The sequence below is a fragment of the Homo sapiens genome, chromosome 12 (assembly GCF_000001405.40).
Source record: "Homo sapiens chromosome 12, GRCh38.p14 Primary Assembly".
Lineage (NCBI taxonomy): Eukaryota > Metazoa > Chordata > Mammalia > Primates > Hominidae > Homo > Homo sapiens.
This window is the reverse complement of record NC_000012.12, coordinates 80,818,098-80,842,582: the sequence shown is the minus strand read 5'-3', so window position 1 is coordinate 80,842,582 and position 24,485 is coordinate 80,818,098. Positions and strand designations below refer to the sequence as shown.

General features: G+C 38.6%; 1 protein-coding gene and 1 non-coding gene across 6 annotated transcripts in view; both read left to right on the top strand.

The window, feature by feature from the left end:
* LIN7A (lin-7 cell polarity scaffold A) overlaps positions 1-24,485 on the top strand; it is a 145,415-nt gene that overhangs the window by 95,352 nt on the left and 25,578 nt on the right. The window lies entirely within an intron of this gene.
* Positions 9,954-10,050, top strand: MIR617 (microRNA 617). Its single transcript, NR_030348.1, has one exon. It is a non-coding gene; the product is annotated as a microRNA 617 (primary transcript).

The following is a 24,485-nucleotide window of genomic DNA, read 5'->3' as shown; positions in this document are numbered from 1 at the left end:
GATTTATATTTTTGGCTTTAAATAAGGTACAATTTCAGGAGATTAAATATGGAAGATTTTCAGAACATGCCATTCTAAACTGAGAAATTATGAAAGGAAGTGCTTTGGAGGGCTAAAGCAAACCTTAACTACTTTAGTATAAGTTCTCTGAACTTTAAATTATATATATATTTAGGCAGATCCATGACATATCCTTTTTCTAAATGCAGGCAAAATATAAAACTAGACAAACAATCAAAGATAAGCAGGACAACACATCAGATGTCTTTTCAGATGTTTAAATGTCCATGGAATAATTTCTTTACTTTTTAAATAGGACAGAAATATATATATACACACACAGAACTATTAACATGGAATGTTAGGTTATAAAGTGTGATGGAAAGGGGGGGAAATCAATAAATAAAAATAAAGACAAAATACAGCAATTGAACAATTGATTTTTTCCTCCTAGCTTCTAAGAAGTCAAAAACAGATGGAAACTCATGTCAGCTCAGCAATCATTGGGAGAGAAAATTTTTTCTATCCCTAGGCACCAAGAGAAATTTCCCATGGGAATGTTACAAATGAGACATTGAACCACCTAATACAATTCCATAGAAAATACAGAGGCCTTTGGTGTATGGCTACTTCTTATATCAATCCTCAGTGAAACCTTACAACTGAATGCTGAATTAAAATTTAACATTAATAGGAGGTCAAAATGTTACAGTAAGAATTTATAGCTTTCTAATGATCTCCTTTTCACCCTTTTATGCTCAAGTGTTTTCTCCGCAATTTTAAGAGAGAACTCAAGGACTATTTATAAGGGTTGCAGCCAATGTGGAGCCAGCGGCAACCGTAAATATATTTAGTGATAGAGTCAGGATATAAAAAGTCTCAATAGAATGGTACAATAGGCCTATTTTAATAAGAATCTTCATGAAGTCCTGCTCCTGTGCCCAAAAAAACTAGCTACATATATGCAGAATCAGGGAGGAACAACTAAATATCAAAGCCTGGGGAAAAAAATTTTAGGGAATTTTAATGTTGATTTCAAGAGGAATATAAAGCAAGTTGAGGGAGGGGGACAAAACATAATGTGATTGTAGGGGCTCTGATATAAATATCTTGTATAGAACACAGAAAGAGATTGGTCCAGCTCTTGAGGGTGCTGTTCGTACTTTCTTTCCCTCCTTCCTTCCTTCCTTCCTTCCTTCCTTCCTTCCTTCCTTCCTTCCTTCCTTCCTTCCTTCCTTCCCTCCCTCTTTCTTTTCATTTCTTTTCTTTTCTTTTCTTTTTTCTTTCTTTCTTTCTCATGGTCTCACTCTGTCGCCCAGGCTGGAGTGCAGTGGTATGATCTCAGCTCACTGCAACCTCTGCCTCCTGGGCTTAAGCTCACACCCTATTGTGCTCATTCCATCCTTGCAAAGAAAAATAAGCTCACCCAGAGAAGAGCAACCTTGTATATGAGGAACATGTTAAAGAATGACTTGAATTGTTTATAGTGGAGAAGAGAATATTTAGGGGAATGATGACTGTCTTCAGCTATCATCCATTGTATGGGGCACCAGATGGCAGAACCAAGACCAGTGTGTAAAAGTCATGGGGTAGTCATCTTATTATAATAAAGAGCTTTTAAACACTTAAAGCTCTCTAAATGGAGAAAGACTAAATCATAAGGCAGAATTTGCTCATCATTTGAAGTTTTAATCAGAGATTAGGAGACCACCTGATCAGAGTATTTCAAAATATGAGTACCATGTACAGAGTTGGAATGGTTGGCCCCAAAGTCCCTTCTAAGTCTGTGACTATGTGATTCTATGTCTTCCAATGGGATTCTGCTGAGAGTACCATATAACCCTCCCCTGACCAACACACACATGCTGCCTTACACTCTGAGGCAGATGAGTAGGCTCTACCTATGCTCTGTGTACCCTATTCATAAGACATTTTTTTCTGAATGGAAAGATGAGAAATCTAACACAATATGTTTTATTTATTTAGTACTTTATAGTTTTTTTTAACAGTATTTACATTATGTTCTCTCATTTGTTCCTCAGAAACACAGTCTCATGAAAGAGTAGGGCCAGGAGTGTTTCCTCCCTCTCTCTCTCTGTCCCTCTGTCACACACACAACCCAATGGATACACACAAAAGCACACATGAACTCACATCCAAAGACACACGTGCACACGTGCACGCAGGTGAGAAAGTGGATTTCAACCTTTACTGCAATCATAACTGATGCTTACCAAATGTAATAACTGGTTATGTTAAAAACAAATCCCACTGAAATCTGAGTAAGCTCTCTGAATTGTACCAATTCCAATTCGCTGGTTTAATATGATTTTGTAAGATGTTAATATTGGGGAAAGCTGGGTAAAGGATGCATGTGATGTCCCTGTACATTACTTTTCAACTTCTCTTAAATCTATAATTATTTATTTATTTTTATAAAGCAAGAAAGTCCAAAAGGTGATATTTTACTGGTACTGATGGGAGAGAGGCAGGTGAGGAACAGGAAAGAAAAGGATAGAAAGATAAAATATAAGCATGAGGACTTAAAAAAAATATGGCATACTGAAAAGAAGCCCTCATTTGCTTCTGAAATGCAAACATTGTCTTAGAGCACCATTGGTGGGAAATTGCAGCTGAATTTACCTAGCTTTACAGTTAAAACTAAATAAAATTGTCTATACAGTGTATACAGATTGCTAATTGATTTTTAAGCATAACAGATGAGTGAATAAAAGTTTAGGGATGGGACAGAATAAATTGTTTTCCTGCCATCGGCTTTTTTTACATTTTATAAATACCTATATCAAGTTGAAAGTAAGTACTCACAGCCCAAATTACTTATGCAGAATGGCTGTCAGGTGTGGGATGAAGATGAAATAAAAATTAGAACTGTAGATTCGAGCTCTGTGAAGCTACAGCATCCCAGAGGGGAAATCTGTATTAAGATCTTATTTATCTGTGTCGGAACAAAGAGAAAACATAAAAAGTTTTTTTAATTGCTATGAACTACACTGCAAGATTTAAGTTTCACAATAAAATGCATGTTCCAATGATGGCAGTAATTTGTATTCATTGCCTTATCCCAATTCTTAGAACAGTCCCTGTATATAGTCAAAGCTCTCTATATATTTGTTGAATGCCAGACACTGCTGTAAGCACTCTACATAATGAATTCATTATTTACCCGTAATGATCCTCAGTGGTAGGTGTTATTATTATCAGTCCCATTTTACAAATGAAGAAACTGAGGAAGAGAGAGATCAAGCAACTTGCCCAATCTCCTATAGCTACTAAATGGCAGAACTAGAGATTCTAACTCAGGCAGTCTAGCCTTATTAATCATAATTTAAGGTAAATAAATATCTTAGCCATTAATAAATTAGTACTTTCATGTACAATGTAGAAAAGATCAAGTTTTCTTAGCCTTTATGGGTTTGCATAAGTAAATTTTTGGTGGAGAGAGATCAGTTGTTTTTCTTAACTACTCATAAGAGACTTTGACCTTTAAAAAGTTAAAAACCACTTCTAAAGATAGTAAGGTTTTGAAAAGGAATTTACTCTGATTCAAATGGCTCAGTACTCTAATTCACCACTGCAGATGTGTGAAGAGTTTGGTTTGAATGTGTTTGAATTGTTCCATATCTGCATCATTCCAGTTTGCACCAGGCACTTTGCATTCCCGGCTAACTGAACAGCCCTGGTCCACAAGCACTCTCTAAAGCCACTTGGCCCTTAGAGGGGAGCAGATGCTTGCATGAAGAGGGGAAAGACAGAAGCTCAGTCTTCAGTTCCCCTATAGGCCTGGCACACAGATCCCCAGCTTAATTCCAGCTAAGAGACCTCAAGTAAAGCTATTCTCACAATCTCTCTATTCCTAGAAGTCGTTAGCAGATGCTTTACCTTTCTCAGAAGCTGAGTGGGGGACTGTTTAGGTTATAATTAAATAGGAGTGCAAGCTGAAATTTCAGTTCTAAGTGCTGAAAATTTTTATTCTCGGCATGACATCATGTGACACTTCACTCACATTTGTGAAGAAGCCAAGAGAAGTACATTTATGTTGTTTTATCCCAGTCACTTTCAGAAGAGCACAAACAATGCAGCATGATCTGGTATATTTTGCAACACTGAGAAGGCAGTATTCTACCCCCCTTCATTCTGAGTTGGCTCACAATAAGAGATCTTTTAATTTAAAAAGCAGAACAGGGAAATATCGTGCTATCTCAATAGCACAGGTAACTATAGTTCACAGGTTAGAACAACTACATTCCCACCTGGTGATTTCAGCCTGCAAGAATGGGCACCAGGTCTCTCATTCCTTCATAGATCAACTTGAGCTTTGAGCATACAAGAGATTGTGCTGATAGTGTGTCAGTGCCAGAACACACTCACAGTCAGTCGGTGCTAAACGGCAAGTCTCTAAATGAGGGAAGCATTCCCACACATGGGATCAGACTGACCTAAATCTCTATTTAGATTGCTGGTAATGGGTATTTGACTATTCAGTTTAGTTACTGGTGCAGTCTTTCTCATAGTTATTTTTACCATTTATTGTTTGTGTTTTCCTTCTATTTGTGCTGTTATTTTAGCAATGCTTTTCTTTCATTCAACAATTATTTGTAGAGAAATTATTATGTGCCAGCTACTGAGCTAAGTCCTGGATATGGAGTGGTAAACAAAAAAAAAGGGTTATAATCTGGTAGAAAGTAAGAACATGATGATGATGATGATGATGATGATGATGAGGATGATGATGATGATAAATACATACATATAAATGTAACATATCCATCAGTTATCCCAGCCTAAGGGAAATGCTCCCAGTGATTTTGTTCAGGTTCACACTGGTCACAGTAACAGGATTTTTTAACTCCGTTATGTGTATATTAGTTTCCTATGGCTGCTATAACAAATTACCACACACGGTGGTTTTTAAACAACAGAAATGTATTATCTCACAGCCCTGGAAGCCAAAAATCCCAAATCAGTTTCACTAGCTCCAAACCAAGGCATCAACAGGGCTGTGCTCCCTCTAGAGGTGCTATTGGGGAATCTGTTCCTTGCTCCCTTCAGCTTCTGGTGACTGCAGCATTCTTTGATTTGTGGCCACCTCATTCCAATCTCTATCTCCATGGTAACGTTATTACCTTCTTCTCTGCGCCAAATCTCCCACCTCCCTCTATAAGGATACTTGTGAGTTCTTAGGGCCCACTGAGATAATGCAGGGTAATCGCCTCATTTCAAGATCCTTAACCTAATTGTATCTGAAAAGACCTTTTTTTCTATAAAAGGTAATATTTACAGGTTCTGGGGAATAGGACCTGATATTAATATCTTTGAGAAATTATCCAGTCCTCTACAATGTGTAAATATCATAAATCTAGAGTGCTTACAAGTGTATAGGGCTATGGAATGGAACCAGTTGTCCACAGAGCATGGGCACGTTGGTTTTCTAGTCTCAAAACAGCACACACTGAATATTTTCCACTCTACTCCTAGTTCTGACAATGCAAGTTCTTTCTTCCCTTTTCACTTTCAGACTTTTCTCCTTCTGCTTCTGCCTATCCAATCAATAAAGCCATTCAGACTCCTCTTCCTTCTTTCCCCGCCCCCCATCTTGCCTGGTCTTTGATGAGAAAAAAAAAAAAAATGTACGTGAAAACATGCAGCCAAAACATTCTGCTGCACAGCAAAGACCTTCAGATATTTTTCAGTCCTTTTTTACTCCTAAGGTGTGGGCTGAAGGAAGCAGAATGGGAGGGAAAATTCACAAAGAACACGAATTAATACTTCAGAATATAACATGGCCTCATAATTAAACACTGTGATAAGTGTTACAGAGGGGAAAGAAGAAAACAAGGAGCCATGTAATGGAACAAGAGAAGCTACTTTTAAAATATATATATATACATATTTATTTATTTATTTTTTGAGACAGGGTCTCATTCTGTGGCCCAGGCTGGAGTGCAGTGGCGTGATCTTGGCTCACTGCAAACTCTGCCTCCCAGACTAAGCAATCCTCCCACCTCAGCCTCCTGAGTGGCTGGGACCACAGGCACATGCCACCATGCCGGCTAGTTTTTGTATTTTTGATAGAAACAGGCTTTCACTATGTTGCCCAAACTGGTCTCAAACTCCTGAGCTCGAGCAATCCACCAGCCTTGGCCTTCCAAAGTGCTGGGATTACAGATGTTGAGCCACCATGCCAGGAGCTAGTTTTAATAGTGTTAGAAATGGCCTCTTTGAAGGGTGACATTTAAACTGAGATTAAGGAGAAGAGTCTGTTATCATAAGAAAGAGCTTGTGTGAAGGTCTTGAGATAAGGAAGTCCATGATTTGCCATGTAGGAGCAGCTGAAAGAACAAAGTGACTAAAGTATACATAGTGGGATAAGATGAGGCTGAAGAACTGATTGGGAGCCAACCAATGGAGTTTTAAGGTTGATACCCAAAAGTTTTCATTTTACTCTAAGTGCATTAGGAATCTGAAATCAATTCTGAAATCTGATGATATGCCAAGAGTCTCTAATACATCCTGAGGCTGTTCATTATGAAATGAAATGTATTCTACTTTTTTTTTCTGTTAGCTTATTATTATTTTTTGTATTGAAATTTTCTTTCTATATCCTTAAATCACTTGACTAGGATATTGCATATGATAACAACTTAAGAGCAATTTTCCCTTTTTTTCTGTCATCATATTTAATGAAAATTACAAACTTTTACTTTATTGTGAATTGATATTTTCAACATTTCAAAAGGGACTCATTCAAATTCAAGTTCTTATGGTTTCTCAGGAGTTAAGGTTATTCTAACCATAATACGTTTATTTACTCTTTGAGACTCTATTTTGTCATACGTAAAGCAAAAATAGCAATATCTTTCTCACAGGTTTAATCCAAAGATTAAATAAGAGAAAGTATGTAAGAGTGTCTGGCATTACGCTGGATACCTTTTAAATACCCAGTAACTATAAATTTTTTCTTTTAAATCAGATAATAGTCTTTTCTTTCTTATAATTTTATCTCCCTATAGAGTTAGACTCTCCGCCCAGTTTAAGTCATCTCCTCTGCTTTTTGTTTATCTTCAAGAGACAATAAAAGTCCCCCATTAAATACTCTAATTTCAGAGGAAATTGGATCCTTGTCATTGGTGGGTTGATTATGGGCAAGTCATTGGAATTTTTGGTGTCTTTATATCTGCAGGACTGATGTAACAACACCTGTCCTGTCTACCTTTCCTAATAGTAATTAGGATAAAAAAGAGAAATGATAAATACAGCATTAAAAGATAAGACTTATGCTTCCACAATTACACAGCATTGTTGCTGTATATTATTATTAAACAGCCTTTCACCAAACTTCCAGATGCATCTCTCCATGTTTCCTATTGCAACATTTTTCCTTAATTTACAAAAACAGAATATGTAAACCAAGTAATGGTCCTTCTTCTGTTCTAGCTGAGAAATGTGTGGTTTATCTCAAATGAATAGAATATTTGTCTTGAAATCCTGTGCTGGTCCAAAAAAGCATCATTTATATTTTGTGGAACTCACCAAGCCCAATTACCAGTGATTGCTTTAAACATTAGTGAAAAGCCAATGATTCGATTTAATCCTAACTTGGGAGGAACATTCTTCTAACTTATTTATGCTGGTCTACAGACTGTTGGCACTAGCCTAAAGCAAGGTTGGAATGTTAATATGCCACAGCTACATGAGTATACCTAGTGAAATGCAAGCCAAGTGTAAGTCTAAGGGTTTATATAATTTTCCATAATGGATTTATATCTTGTTCTGTTTTTAATTATATTCTCAAAAACAGAAGACACTGATACATATGGCAATCAGATGACATGTCACAAGCCACATGTGATTGCTCACAGGTTCATGTGAGATAACCAAACTTTAACTCAAATGTTGGTTGCTGAGTCTCAGATATGGGAAATGAGTATCAGCAATTGTGGTATTAGAACTACATCTTTCTAAGTTCAGCCAGGAGGTATGGGCTGTTTCAATAAATTTGCAAATGAATCACATTTGATCATAGGCCTTTCCTACTTGGGTTTCTTTCTCTTCTCTCATAGATACAAAATCATTAGTTGCTAATTTTATCACAGCCAACCTTACTCTGAATTGTAAATTATTGACCTTGCCCTTCAGTGACACCAAATCACTTCTCAAGAGAAGTCATGTTTTCTATTTACAGAGGTGCCTATTATCACCAACTGTGTAAATATATAGCATATCTTAAGCTTTAAGAATATAAATTTGAATAAGAACCAAAGCATAAGACTTTAGATCCTGAAGTCAAAATCTGTATATGTAGTATACAAGATTTGATCTAGCATCAGCCTGAACCTATCTTATCACCCAGCACTACCATTTCAACATAGATTTTTCATTCTGAACTAATCACTATATATGTGGTAGTCCTTACATACTTAAAAATCGAGTAAAATGTGACATCAGAAGAGTTGAGGATTCTGGGCAGTCTCTGAGCTTCTACCTCTGAAAGTCAAGGGAACATGACATTGTACTAGATTTGGTTTTGCAAAAGGCTATCCAGGAAGTAGGAGTGGTTAAATTTGACTATTTTAGGGTCCAGAAGGAGATTAGATAAGTGAGCAGAGATAATCAAGAGGGAAAGATGGCAATCTAGAGGAGAAATGCCCTATTACAATTCTAGCCGGTTATTGCCATTTGGTACTGTGGACAGTGTAGCGAAAATTCAGAATTTAAAAACAAGCAAACAACACCTTCTGCCTTTGTAGAGGAAATGGTATATATAATAAGAAGCATTTTAAAGGATTAATAGTAGTTATCTATGGAATGTTAGAATGAATAGGTTGATGGAGGGCATTCTAGACAGAGGGACAACATCTACAGAAACATATAAGAAACAACATGTTTGTAGCTAAAGAGTAGGGTTGAAGGGATGGGCTTGAGCCACATCATGGAAGACACCATAAGCCATCACAAGGAGCCCGGACTTAACATTTGAAAGTGGTAGGAAATTGCCAAAATGACATGAATTTTTATAGGTTATTCTGGCAATTGCCAACATGTGGGCATAGGGTGTGTGAAGGCATGGAGGAAAAGCCGGAGGTGGAAGATCAACCAGGACACTCTTAGAAGTTCTGGAGGGACATGGTGGAGGTCTTAACTGGAAGAGGGGCAATTTGGAGAGAAAGGAAAAGATTTGAAAATGACTTTGGATGTAACGGGACTATAAACAAGAACTGGTGATTGACTGGATATGCAAGGTGAAGAATAGGGAGTTACCAAGAACTCTTGGGTTTCTGACAAGGATCTTGCCTCTTGTTGACACAGCAGAAAAGATGGTTCAGGTGAGAGTGAGCAGCTGAGTACTTGGAGGTTGTGTTGTCTATGGCTCAGCCATATGAACATAAACAAGGGCATAGGTTTTAATTTAGTTTTGCCTTTTCCAAGATGTAAATTTAATTAACTGAGCTCTATCAAACTGACAGCATTTCGAAGTAGAACACTTAAAAATTATATTATGTAAACTTTTCACTCAATTACATTTGTCAACCAGGATTTCTCACCCTTGAAATTGCTGATATTTTGAATGGGATAATTCTTTCTGGGGGAGGCCATTCTGTGCATTGTAGAATGTTTATCCTGGCCAGTAACACCCTCCCCATCCAGTCACCACAACAAAAAATGTCCCCAGACCTTTTGAACTGTCCCCTAACAAGCAAAATCATCCTTGGTTGAGAATCACTATCTTAAACTAAATTAGTTCATTTTCATGAAAACAGTTCCAAACCATATAGTAGCTACAATATTAAAATCTGAAAAATGCACACATTGTACACTATGCCATAAATATGAATAGAATGGACTTCTACCAAATCATAGCATCAACATGTTTGTAGCTAAAGAGTAGAGTTGAAGGGATGGCCTGGAGCCATGTCACGGAAGCTACCATAAGCCATCATAAGGAGCCTAGACTTCCCATTTGAAGGTGGCCATTTCCTACCACCTTCAAATGGTAAGTCCAGGCTCCTTCTGATTCAATAAATGAGGAGCATTCTGGAAAAGAGATTTCATCCAAGGCTTGATCTCAATTGAATGTTCTGTGTGGAGGAGCACCAGAGTTGATCCCAATTACCATGGATGACAAAGGCAAAGCAATTGACAGCTTGCCATTATTAAATTTGGTATTGAATCTGTCTCTACAGGCAAACGTTATTGTAAGAATATCACTTTAAAATCTTCAGTCAGACTGCTAATAAGATTTATTAACCATGGTACCATGTCTGGCACTGGGAAAGGAACAGTTTAAAGAAAACGTAGATCATACCCTAAGGGAGCTTACTTTGATCTAATTATCCTAGAAACACCAAGTTAAGTTTTTCATAAGTAGAAATGGATGCACTACTCCTAATTGCCTTAGCTTTAGCTTTGAGTGATTTGTAGAAATATTGTGCCAATATGTCATGAACAGAAATATGCCAAAGCCTCACCACTCTTCTTTTTTGCCTAAATCTAGAAGGCACAATATCTATTTGACCACTCAGTAAAGTCTGTAACCAAAACCTGCAGGGTACCTGAATGCTGTCTGTCTCTCAGTTTTACAATGGATCTGAAATGAGACTGGCCACCAGGCTAGACAGTGCACAGCCACTCATCCTGAAATTCCCCTTATTTTTGTGGCCATGATCTGTTTACATTTTGAAAATCTAAATTACATGATAATTATTATTTTGCTATGCACTCTTAGGCAATGTAAGAGCAACTTTAAATATCATTGCCCATGTTATAGCAATTTAGACACAGCTAATTACCACAGGAACCTAGGGCACACACCATTTCACATGAGTCGTGTTTTATTAGATGAAATTGGCAGGAGGGATAATGCAAAGTTGTATGATGTTGGTTATCACACCACACATCATGTTATGGGACAGGATTTGTAATTGCTTCAAATATATTTTCCTTCAGTTGTATTGGATATAATTTTGCATATATTGGCAGTGTTTCACAAAGAAGCCCAATCACTTTCAGTCTGCTTGGTCTCTAATAAATTTGTTTACTCTTCTAGAAAAGGATTAATAATTATGTGCAACTTTTAGTATGTCTATTTTGTAAATAAAACAAATCAAATATATTCATTAAAATTCCCCTGATGCATTATCAATTATTTATAGGAATGTGAGACCTTGGGTCAGACTTTTAACTTTAGCTGTCTTTGTTTTGTTACTCTGCCTAGATCCAAGCACATTCATCTGCTTTCAGTAATATATTAACTGCTCAGTGACTCCACCAAAGCCTTAGTTTGAGAGATGTTAGATAGGGCAATAAATCGACAAAATATACATGAACTTGTATCTAAAGCACCTGTGTAGCCAAACAAGGCTATATAACATTGCTTGGCCAGTTTCAATAGTCATTCACTCAGTCACTCAATAAGCATTTATTAGGCATCTACATTGTACAATTTGAAGCAGTCAGGATTCTTTAATGAAAAAAAAGAGACAAAAAAGTCCTTACCTTTGTGGAGTTCACATTCTAGTATGGCAGATAAGCAATAAACAAAATAAATAAGGAAATCCATATAGTGTTAGAGATGGCAAGTGCTAAGAAAATTAATCAGTACAGCGTAAGGAGGCTAGGGGATGCTATGGCAGGGAGAGTGTGGTGCCGGTCAGAGTAGCCTCAGTTAAGGGGTGATATTCAAGGTGGAGGTCAAAGGAGATAAGGGAGTGAGCCACACCTAGGGAAGAACATTCAGATCATTCTCCTGTGACCATCAGAGGAAAGTGTCAACACCAAGTCTTTAAGGTTTGAAGGGCACTGGCATTCGAGAGAAGCAACGAAAAACCAGTGAAACTGGAGTGGATTGGAGTAGAGGGGAGAAGGAAATGAGTTCAGTGTTAGTAATTCACTTTCATTTTCAATTTTTAGTTTTTTTCTAATTAAAAAAAATCAACTTTTAAAAAATATATCTTCTACTCAATTATATGTGCCATTGTGTTAAAATGGCAATTTTTAAATCCCCAGACATTAAGTTTAGAAATAAAGCAAGCACCCCCAAATGTAGTAACAACATTGGTAACAAAAGTAATGGAAAATACTTCCTTCCAGGGCTTCTAAGCCAAGCGTCTGCAGAGCACTCTAAATGCACTGGGCCCTTTAGTTCTCAGTAAATCCCTATAGGGCACAAATTCAATGTCATTGGTGGAGTTTGGTGAATAATTTGCTAACTTATCTGAACCTTAGTTTTCTCATTGCTAAAAGATGATAATATAAGAAGCTACTTAGTTTTTCTATTTTAGTGTTTAAATGGCATAACACAGTTCCTGAACATGTAGTAAGTACTAAATAAATGTTAGTGCTTATAATCATTGCTAGTTTATAATCAAGGCAGCAAGCCATTGATTTAAGCAAGCAGGTGAACGGAGGCAGTGAGGAAGGTGAAAGAGACATCACAAGGAAGGGCCCAGAGACAAGAAAAAATTGCATGTTCTCCTGTTTGGACCTTCATGGATTAGCAAATGAGGGTGAAAATATACACAGGGGCCAGATCACAAAGGGTGAGGTACACTAGGCTGAAAGACTTCAGCCTGTATCTGCAATACAGGCACATGTAATTATTTTAAGCACGAGAGTGCATTTTGGAATGATTACTATGATTGCAATGTGAAGAGTGGTTTAGAAGTGGCCAGAATTAAAGGCAGGGCCACCAGATGTGGATGTAAGTTAATATTTAGTGAGAGAAACACAGATCTCATTAGTATCTATCTCATTATGATCTATTATGTAGAGAATATTGATGTTTCTTTGTTATGACACATTATTATTTGGGGAAGGGGGATAAGATCAACAGTAATTGTACCAAAGAAGAAAGACAAAGCCAACTCATTTCATTTTCAGAAAAATTCCTAGGTCAACTGATTACTCTCTGTGGAATCTCACATCTATCAAGATTGAGATCACTGCAAGTTTGTTTGTTTGTTTTTAATCTCAGGAGCCATTAGATGAAAAGCAAAATTTTAAACATGAAGTATTTCATAATCCTTCCTTATGATTTTTCCATTGAACATTATTCCTTGAAAACATGGATTTATAGCCTATATATTGAACCATGAATGATCTGCCATGCCGTATAAGTGATATGCTGGCCCCGACAAATAAACAACTGAGAGGAAATATAGGAAAGGAAAACTTGGGTTTCAGCAAATTAACGATGTCGGGAGAAAAACCATTCAGTCATGATAGTTCAAACAGAATATCATTGGCATTACATTGTGACTGAGGTTTTGAAGCTCCCACAGACTATACTTCTACATCTGTAAATTTTGAGGTAACTTTGCTAAAATCCCTTCATTTCACCTGAGTTACCCAGGCAATTATAGAATTATAGTTGTAGGGATTTTTGCTTTTGTTTTGGGGGACTTATTTTGCCCAAACTACTTGAAAGCTCTGCCTGAAAGTACTATTTAAACAAAATTATGCTTTGTCCCACCTTCTTTGGTTTGTTCTAGAATGACCTTTCCTCTCATGATCCTTATGGGATGATACTGGGCTATTGTATTTAAAAATATACAATAAATATGTAAATGCATTCTTAGCAAATTTTTAAATAATTCAGTGTGGAAAGACTAAAATCAGATTTTTTAAAGAGTCCCTTTAACTGTTTTCCTCAATCCGTTCCAGCCCCTCTCTCTCTCCACGTGTAGAAACACCATTGTAGTGAGCATGCATCTGAACGTTTCTCTTTGTATTCAAGCACACACATACACCACACACACACACACCCCACATTTATTTACTTATTTATTTATTTTTAAATACAAACATATGAGACAATGCAGGGCTGTGATTAAGAGGTCAGCCTCCAGACAATGATTTGTTACCCATTAACGGTGTGGCCATGGAAACTTACTTAACCTTTCTGTGTCTCAGTTTCCTCATATATGAAATTGGGATGATAACATTACATAACTTGCAGTGTTGTTATGAGAAGTCACTATTTTGCTACATTTAAAGCCCTTGAAACAGTACCTGATAGTAAATACTCAATGAATATAAGCTACTATTATTATTATTATATGTAATTTTCTTAAATGCACTGCTATTTTTACATATACGTATTATCTATGACTTGCTTTCTTGGTTAATAATGTCTTGGAGATTTTGCCTCATCTGTACATAGACCTTTTTAAATCTTCTATATAATATTCTATATATGGTGCATTTAACTATTCCCCTGTTGATGGACATTTAGTTTGTTAACCAAATGGTTTTTTGTTTAATTTTGTTTCACTATTTTGAGTACTGCTTGAATGAAAATCTTTATGTATATGAGTAACTATTTTTCTCAGGTAGATCCTAATATATGCAAGCCAGGATAGGAAGATATGGATATACTTTATTTTAATAGATATTGCCAAATTGACTCAAAAAGCCTATATCAATTTATACTTCTATGTTTTATGAAGATATAAATTTCACCAAATCCTTGGGGATACATTCTTTTTTTAAGCATGTGAATGATTTTGATCTCATTTTAGATTTAATCTGCATCTCCCTAACTGATAGTAGAGTTGAGCATCTCGTAGCTGAGAACTTTATGTGAAGAAGCTAGTCATACAAAATTCTGGCAGGAATGAACTAGGTATAAGCAAGAACAAAAAAAACGTCCAGAATGATTTGAATATGAATGATGGGGAGAGTATTAGACATAAGGTTATAGAGGCCAGCTGGGAGTGAAGAGTGAAGGTCCTTGTAAACCATCATAAAGTGTTTGCTATTTATTTTGAGCAAGAAAGTGACATAATAGAGAATAAGTACTGTTTGGGATGGGCTTTGAATGATGGGTGGGGGGTTATTAAAACAGAGTGGAGGAAGGACATTCTACACTGAGGGAATAAAACTGAGAGATTATAGAAACATGAAAACACATGCTGAAATCAAAAGCATAGTGTTGCTTCTATGTTGAAGATTAATATTAGGAAATATAATTGGACCTGCCTGTACATGGGAAGTGCTTTGCATGATACAGGATGTTTTCATTTTCATTTCTAGAAAATTGAAAAATATGTATGGGGTAATGCATTTATTGGGTACATTCTGTGAGCCAGGTTTAGTACTTGGCACTTTACACGGGTAGTCCATATAAACCTAAATGACTTCTGTGAAGGAAATGTTTTGTTTGTTTGTTTGTTTGTTTGTGACAGAGTCTCACTCTGTCACCCAGGGTGGAGTGCAGTGGCAGGATCTCAGCTCACTGCAAGCTCCGCCTCCCGGGTTCACGCCATTCTCCTGCCTCAGCCTCCCGAGTAGCTGGGACTACAGGCACCCACCACCACGCCCAGCTAATTTTTTGTATTTTTAGTAGAGATGGGGTTTCACCGTGTTAGCCAGGATGGTCTCAATCTCCTGACCTCGTGATCTGCTCACCTTGGCCTCTCAAAGTGCTGGGATTACAGACCTGAGCCACTGTGCCAGCCCTGAAGGAGATGTTATTAATGCCATTTTGCATATATGGGAACTGAGAGGCTCAGGGAAATGAAATAACCTTCTTACAGCAGTAATCTTTGACCTAAGCTTTAAAGTCAGCCCTCTTCAGATTAGCTAAACAAACACTGGATGAGTACTGTGCACTGTGCTAGGTATCAGGGATAAACCATCAATGTAGCAAGGTCCCTGCCCTCAAGGACAGTGCCTATCATAGTTGTGTTCTTTCTACTCATCAATAGATTTTAAGCAAGGGCATGCAAAAACCAAGCAACTCAGCCAGGGGTGGTGGCTCACGCCTGTAATCCCAGCACTTTGGGAGACTGAGACAGTAGGATCACTTGAGGTCAGGAGCTCGAGACCAACCTGGCCAACACGGTGAAATCCCATCTCTACTAAAAATACAAAAATTAGCCAGGCATGGTGGCACATGCCTATAGTCCCAGCTACTCGGGAGGCGGAGGCAGGAGAATAGCTTGAACTCAGGAGGGGAAAGTTGCAGTGAGCCAAGACCATGCCACCGCACTCTAGGCTGAGCCACAGAGAAAGACTCCATCTAAAAAAAAAGGAGTAAAGTAACTCTGGCTGGAATAGGTAGAAGCATTTAGACAAGAGAGGAAATCCAGGCAAGAAATCATAAGAAATAAGAGGGAGGAGAGGATGAGATGCAATTGTGGTAATTGACGCATTAATATCAACCAGTATTGGTGGTTAATTGGATGTAGATTGAGGGAAGATGTCCCCAGGAGGGTCCAACTTGGGTGGCTACATGACTAGTGATAGCAGGAACTAGAGAAGAGGGTTGAAAAGAATCTTTGGAGGTTAGAGCCAGTTAGAGCATTTAAAATAAGCAAAAGATCTTAGTATAAATCAATGGTGACAAAAGCAAAGAATATTCTGTGGGTGTACATTTAATTGGAAAAGACATTTATATGCACAGCTACAGAGATATTGGACAATAAACCTGAAATAGCCTTTAAATTTTGACTTCTCCTGCAAGAAAGCATCTGCAATGTTGAATCTCTCCAATTAAATTAAATGTTATAGCTATTATTAATGTTTTATTATTCATGGTACACATCAACATAAATGTCCATGCCATTTTACACTTTATAGGAAACACATTTGACAGTGCCAGGCTCAGACAACTTCTGCCCAGATTTGCTGTATTTCCCCCTGATGTTTTATATTAAATTGCCTGGGCTTCTAGGATTATAAAACAGGCTAGATATTTAAAGTATATCTTTTGAAGGGTTTGGTTGAATAATTTCAGCAATCTATTGTTGTCTCTATGACACCACTTGAAAAACTATGATCTCTGTGAGCTCACTAGAGTAAGATACTTACAGAAAAAAAAAAATCTATTCTGATTGACGGAATTCTAGGAGATGTCATTGCCCATGATACTTGCTGTCATCTTGGAAGAGGAGATAGGATGATGTATTCCTTGCTTAGGGAAATAAGATTTCTCAAAAACTTCCTATAGGCTAAGCCTTTTTCTAGGTTGCAAATCTTTTATAGAACCCCCTAGCTTCAGCCCTGTTTCCATCACTGTAACAGCCCACCTGTCATAAAAGTCAGGGAAAACGATTTGAAGTGTGGGCCTTGTTACTTATTCTGAGGGATCTCAATCAGTATCCCAGTACACAACACTGCTTCATAAACATTTTAAAGTCTTCATCTGATTATGGGTACTCTTTCTAAGCTAGTTTCACATTTTAAACCAGGCTGTATCATCCCTGGGATTCTGCAGTGGCAGAAGGAGATAATGCCCCATGGCACTAGGTCTGCCCTTAGGGTCTTGGCAGAATTGCAGAGTGGGCAAAAATGACTTAACTGCCCTCGAACCTAACTGTTTCAAACTTTTCTTATCACTCAGATCTCTCCTTCCTTTCCCCTTCTTCATGCTGGCAATGACGCATTCTCTGATAAAACCCCTTCCCTTCCTGGCTATTGATTTTTAAAAAAAATTTATAAAGAAATAACATTTAGGGTTTCTAGGTATACAATCATATTATCAGCAAATCGCAGCAGTTTGAGCTCCTCTTGACTGATTTGGATGCCCTTTCTTTCTCGTTTGATTGCTCTGGCGAGGACTTCCAGTACTATGTTGAATAGAAGTGCTGAAAGTGGGCATCCTTGTCTTGTTGCAGTTCTCAGAGGAAATGCTTTCTACTTTTCCCCATTCAGTATAATGTTGGCTGGTGGTTTGTTGTCAATGGTTTTTATTACCTTAAGGTATGTCCCTTCTATGCCGATTTTGCTGAGGGTTTTAATCATAAAGGATGCTGGATTTTGTCAAAAGCTTTTTCTGCATCTATTGAGATGATCATGTGATTTTCGTTTTTAATTCTGTTTATGTGGTGTAGCACATTTATTGACTTATGTATGTTAAACCATCCCTGCATCCCTGATAAGAAACCCACCTGATCATGGTGGATTATCTTTTTGATATGTTGTTGGATTTGGTTAGCTAGTATTTTGTTAAGGATTTCTGCATCTATGTTCATCAAGGATATTGGTCTGTAGTTTTAATTTTTTGTTATGTCCTTTCCTGGTTTTGGTATTAAGGTGATACTGGCTTCATAGAATGATTTAGGGAGGATTTCCTCTTTATCTTGTGGAATAGTGTTAATAAGATTGGTACCAATTCTTCTTTGAATGTCTGATAGAATTCAGCTGTGAATCCATCTGGTCCTGGACTTTTTTTTTTGTTGGCAATGTTTTTTATTACCATTTCTGTCTTACTGCTTGTTATTAGTCTGTTCAGAGATTCTATATTTTCCTGGTTTAATCTAGGAAAGTTGTACATTTCCAGGAATTTATCCATCTCCTCTAGGTTTTCTAGTCTATGTGTATAAAGGTGTTCACAGTAGCCTTGAATAATCTTTTGTATTTCTGTGGTATCAGTTGTAATATCCCCTGTTTCATTTCTAATTAAGCTTATTTGGATTTTCTCTCTTTTTGGTTAATCTCATTAATTGACTATCAATTTTATTTGTCTTTTCAAATAATCAGCTTCTTGTTTCATTTATCTTTTGTATTTTTTGTTTCATTTCATTTAGTTCTGCCCTGATCTTAGTTATTTCTTTTCTTCTGCTGGGTTTGGGTTTGGATTGTTCTTGTTTCTCTAGTTTTGTGAGGTCTGACCTTAGATTGTCTATTTGTGCTCTTTCAGACTTTTTGATGTAGGCATTTAATGCTATGAAGTTTCTTCTTAGCTCCACTTTTGCTGTATCCCAGAGGTTTTGATAGGTTGTGTCACTATTATTATTCAGTTCAAAGATTTGTAAATTTCCATCTTGATTTCATTGTTGACCCAACAATCGTTCAGAAGCAGATTATTTAATTTCCATGTGTCACAGAATCCTTGGGGTGTCACATTTCTGGCTGGAAGCCTCTGTGTCCAGTGACGCCTTTGCCCAAATTTTGCTTGGGCCTGCTGGGCTTGTTCCACACATTCAGCCTGGCAAGTTGTGCTCAGCTTCTGCTACTCGCCTGGATCCTGTGCCTACCAGGGGCAAGTCAGATGCAGAGTGGTGAGGAGTGTGTGAGCAAGTGAGCATGGAGTCCAGCCACTGCACAGAGCCAGGCATGCTGGCTGTGGCAGGGTGGGCAGCTCTAGGTGCTGGCACAGGGGCTGGCTCCCTAGAAGGCTGTGGCTGGACCAGGTGTACCACAAACAGCTTCCATGCCTGGCACCAGGGACTGCAGTGGTGCCTGGAAGCTTGGAGTAGCCAGGAACTGCAAAGCCCCAAAGAGGGTGTCACAACCCTGGCTCGGGGAGCTCTTAGGTCTGGGCTCCCCAAAAGGCCGTAGCTCCTCTCTCCTTCTCATCACCCACAACGTTATGAGCAAGGGGCATGTTTGAGCCCTGTTTGTGTTACAGGTCTTTCAGCCCTGCCATTTGGCAGGTCCCAAGTTCTTGTCCTATGTCCAGGAAGAATGAGGTAGGTAGACAAGTGGAGAGTGAGCAAAGCGAAGAGGTGCTTTATTGAGCAACAGAACAGCTCAGAAGAGACCCACAGTGGGTAGCTCCTCTCTGCAGACTGGTCGACCCATCATCTGCATGAGTCTGGCTGAATCTGGGGTTTGTATGGGCTTCAGAGGGGAGTAGGTGCATGCTGATTGGTCCATAGGCAGACCAAGAGAAAGCACCATAAGTTCTCACTCTGGTCCGTTGAACAGGCAGCCCAGCCCCTGGGCTTCAGGCTGTCCCTGGCTTGAAGGTGGGGCTTCACCAGCAATCCACCCCTTTCCACCCAGGAGTCTGCCTGCCTCCTGCCACCATTAACCTGCCATCCTTGATGCCCATGGCACCCTGGCTCTTTGTGCTGAGAGACACCTACAGTCCTGTGCCGAGCCACCCTTAGGCCCCCTCGGCTTTCCTTCCTGATATGGTTTGACTGTGTCCCCACCCAAATCTCATCTTGAATTGTAGCTCCCATAATGCCCATGTGTTGTGGAAGGGTCCCAGTGGGAGATAATTAAATCACTGGGGCAGTTACCCCTTTTATTTTTATTTATATTTTGTGTGCTTGTGTGATAGAGTTTCACTCTTTCACCCAGGCTGGAGTGAAGTGGTGCGATCTTGGCTCACTGCAACCTCCACCCCCTGGGTTCAAGCAATTCTCCTGCCTCAGCCTCCTGAGTAGCTGGAATTCCAGGCGCCTGCCATCACACCCAGCTAATTTTTGTATTTTTAGTAGAAATGGGGTTTCACCATGTTGGCCAGTCTGGTCGCAAACTCCTGACCTCAGGTGATCCACCCACCTCAGCCTCCCAAAGTGCTAGGATTACAGACACGAGCCACTGCACACAGCGCCCCCATATTGTTCTTGTGGTAGTGAATAAGTCTCACAAGATCTGATGGTTTTATAAGCAGTTTCCCATTTCACTTGGCTCTCATTCTCTTTGCCTGCTGCCATGTAGCTTTGCGCCTTCTTGCTTTCTGCCATGATTGTGAGGCCTCCCCAGCTATGTGGAACTGTGAGTCAATTAAACCTCTTTCCTTTATAAACTACCCAGTCTCAAGTGTCTCTTTATTAGCAGTGTGAAAACGGACTAATACTTTGGGCTCGTTAGTGCCCAAAGTCCACAGAGGGCTGAGGTGTCAGGGGGTTGGCTTGTCAGTGCTCCCCTGAGTGCACACACGTCTGGCCTGGTTGCAACAGTGCCTGCACTTAGTATCAACTTTGCTGTGAAATCTGAGCAGGCACAGGCAGCTGGGAGAGGCCAGGCAACAGGAGCAGGCACTTCTGAGCCTGCAAGGGGAGAGGGGTTTCATGGGTCCCTGAGAATGCAGAGATGCCTGGGTCTGCACCTGCAGCTGGGCAACTGCAGCTGAGCCCAAGAGGGTGGGGCTCTCGCCCCTCCAATTTGGAAGGGGTGGGGTTTCCGCCTGTTGCTGGCTCCCACTGGCTCCCTAAAGCCCACAGCCCTGCAGCACCTCCCCCACTGTAGCTGGTGTCTTCGCAGTGTCCACTCCAGACTGGCTGCAGCTGCAATCACATGTATTTGCATTGTTGTCTTATTTTAAGAAATTACCACAGCCACCCCAATCTTTAGCAACCACTACTGTGATCAGTCAACAGCCATCCATATAAAGACAAAACCCTCCATCCGCAAAAAGATTATGATTTACTGAAGGCTCAGATGATCATTAGCATTGTTAACAATAAAGTATTTTTAATTAAAAAAAAAAGGAAAATTTACCAGGCACTACTATGCACTGTGCACATGTGCAACATCTTGTGTCTTGGGTGACTTATTATCTTAGTTTGCCCAGGCCTGATGCATTTCCTGGGACTTTCAGTGCTAAAACTGGAACAGTCCCTAGCTGAGAGGGGAGAGGTCACACTGTTAATATAAGCAACTTGTCTAAGATTCAAATCCAGATCCTCCTGACCCCAATCCCTGGCCTTTCTGCCCTGGCACCCTGGCTCTGCTAAGGCTTTGGTGGTTTAAGAAGTCACAGTGAATTTTAGTGGCTAAGATGTATTTGCATTTTGTAAGTGGAACTGTAATGGGGTGAGTATGGGGGAGGTAGTTCTTGGCGGATATGTAGGGGATGGTGGTGATCACCACTTCCATAACCCTTTCCCTATCCTAATGCAGACCTGGAGGCAAACAATGAGAACTGGCGGTCACAACACTCTGCTTAGGAGTATGTACATTTCTAAGCCTTTGCTCATTGGGGGTGTAGTGTCACAGAGTGTCATGGGTTGGGAGAGCATGGGGGTGCACAGCCTGCATCTCAGAGATAAACCAGTGTGAATCACAGTTGGTAAGTGTTCTCTATTATCCCTGCTTCCTGGGTGAAACCCACCACTCAAGAATTAGTAGACTGATTTAAAGGTATCATTTTCGAGGAATATTTTCCCAGGCAGCTTTGTTCTGTTTTCAGACCTCTAAAGCTCATGTTTGTACTCCTGAAGATGGGTGTGTGTGTGTGTGTGTGTGTGTGTGTATTTAATCTTCATTCCAACAACCATCAGGACTTTTCCCCCCTTTTGGTGCAGACATCAAGGATCAAGCAGTTACTATAAAGCATTACCACCAGGATGTAGTAGCTGCATTTGTTTCCAGTTTTAGTCTCCAGATCTGAAAGGTGGGCTGAGGTCAACCAAATGTTAGATTTGTGAATATCTGATTGCTAGAAGGCACTGATCTTTTTCTAAAGCTTTTTTGCTCGTTTTCAGTTTTCTGCCCCCAGGCTTACTGATAATGCTCTGCATTCTCCACTTTCATGGTCCAAAAATTCTTCTATTTCTAACTGCTCTCACAGGATAAGAATATGTATAATTATATACACTTTTTTTTCCATTAACCTCCTTGCTCTTTTGTGGTGTTTAGTTATTTGATGATTTTCCCCTCTCAAGTTCCCTCACATTATGCATGCTCCTATCAGGTAAATCTCCTGCACGTTCCTTCTTTACCTAACAGAGCGCGACATTGTTGAGGGACTGAGAGGAACAGTTTTAATGAATAACTAATGATCATTTGTAATTAGCATATCAATTGTATGAATGGAAATGATGCCACTAAATTACTTGAGGATGATTAACAGCAGTGGATTCACCTAGATAGTTTTAAACATTCTTCTAACAAGCCCCATACACTATTAATTTACTTGGTAAACTTTTACTTCCCAAATAATATAAAGAAAACTTCTACTTACACCAAAGGCAAAATCATATTTTGTTGCTGTTGTTGTCTGTAAACATCTAAAGCCCTAAGCAACGCCATTAACAAGAAAATAGTTCAACAAAGAACTAATGTTTGTTGGACGCTTTGTAAATCCTAGGCACTGTTCCAAGTGCTTTATGTATGTTAAATTTAATGCTCATAATAATCCTATAAACTAAGTACACTATGATGCCCAATTTACAGACAAGGAAAGTGAAGCTTTGAAATATTAAGCAGCTTGTCTGTGTTCACAGAGCTGGTGAGGGAAGAAGCTCAGATTCAAACCCAGGCAATACTGGTTCCTTAGCCTATAAGACTTTATATTTTATATTGATGTTATATTCATTGACTATTTATTGAGTTCATAATAAATGCTGGACACACACATAAATAAATTAGACTCATCCTGCTCTTGGACAGTCTGGTGGCAACAGAATGATGGTGAACTGATAAATTATAGTGCACTTGTGATAGATATTAGCATAAAGCAAGAACAAAGTACTATGGGAGATCATTAGCATATTTTTCCAAGAGATAAATGTGATACTTTTAATACATTTTCCACTTTTCTTAATCAAAAAAGACTACATTTAGAACAGGAAAATTAACACATTTGAAAAAAGGGAAAGATGAAACATCATAAAATTCTTTTCTGAATAATGTATACTACATTTTTTCCTTTACTGTGCATACATATTTAGGATGGTTTAATTTATAAATGAGGCACAGTAAGAGATTAACAACAATAATAGAACAATTATAACAATGTACTGCAATCAAAGTTATGTGAATGTGATGTCTCATTCTCTCTCTCAAAATATCCCATTGTGCTGTACTCACCTATTTTTGGACCTTGATTGACCCTGGGTAACTGAAACTGTGCATAAGGAGGCATTATTGTATATCCTGTAGCTTATTAAAAGATATTTCTTTCTTAATTAAATACCCAATCAACATTGTTTTTCTTTAATGATCAAAAATGCCAACTATAGAGCTAAATCAAGGCAAAATCATAAGATTTCCCTCATCTAACCAACACTTTTTTCTGTAGTAAGGTTGTAGAGAAACCCTTAAGATGACTTTTACTATTTTGGTTAGTTCTATTTGGGTTTAGAGTAGTGTGTCCAAACACAAATCTACATGTCAGAGACTGACTGGCTGGATCAGAGTTTTGTATTTATATATTCCTAGGTCATATTGCTACAGATCTTAATATGGCAAGGCTGGGAAGAGCCTAGGTCTCTATATTTAAAAAGTTCTTCAGTTGACTACTATGTACATCAAGGTTTAAGAATGACTGGCCTAAACATCTCTATCAGTAAGCAAAACTGCCAATGTGATACTTACTTTTTCTTTATTATTTTATTTAAGATTAAGGATTGGTAGGTAAGAGCCTCGACTCTAGAAACAGATAAAGCTCATTTCAGGTTGATCTGTTCGACTTACTAGCTGGTGACCTAGGACACATTTCTTAACCTTTTCATTACCTTTTTAACAGATATGTTGCAAGGATTAGATAAAATGCACAGAAAACAGCCTTTTACTTAATAAATGGTCAATAAAAACTACAGTATACATATACACACATGCATGTTTACACACATTTATATGTATGAACACACACACTCTTAAAATAAAATGATAGTGAAAGAACTTCATGGGGAGGCGGAGCTTGCAGTGAGCCAAGATCCGGCCACTGCACTCCAGCCTGGGGGACAGAGCGAGACTCCATCTCAAAAAGAAAACAAACAAACAAACAAACAAAAGAACTTCATGGAACAAAAGTAAAACTATCATAAGAAAAAAATAATCAC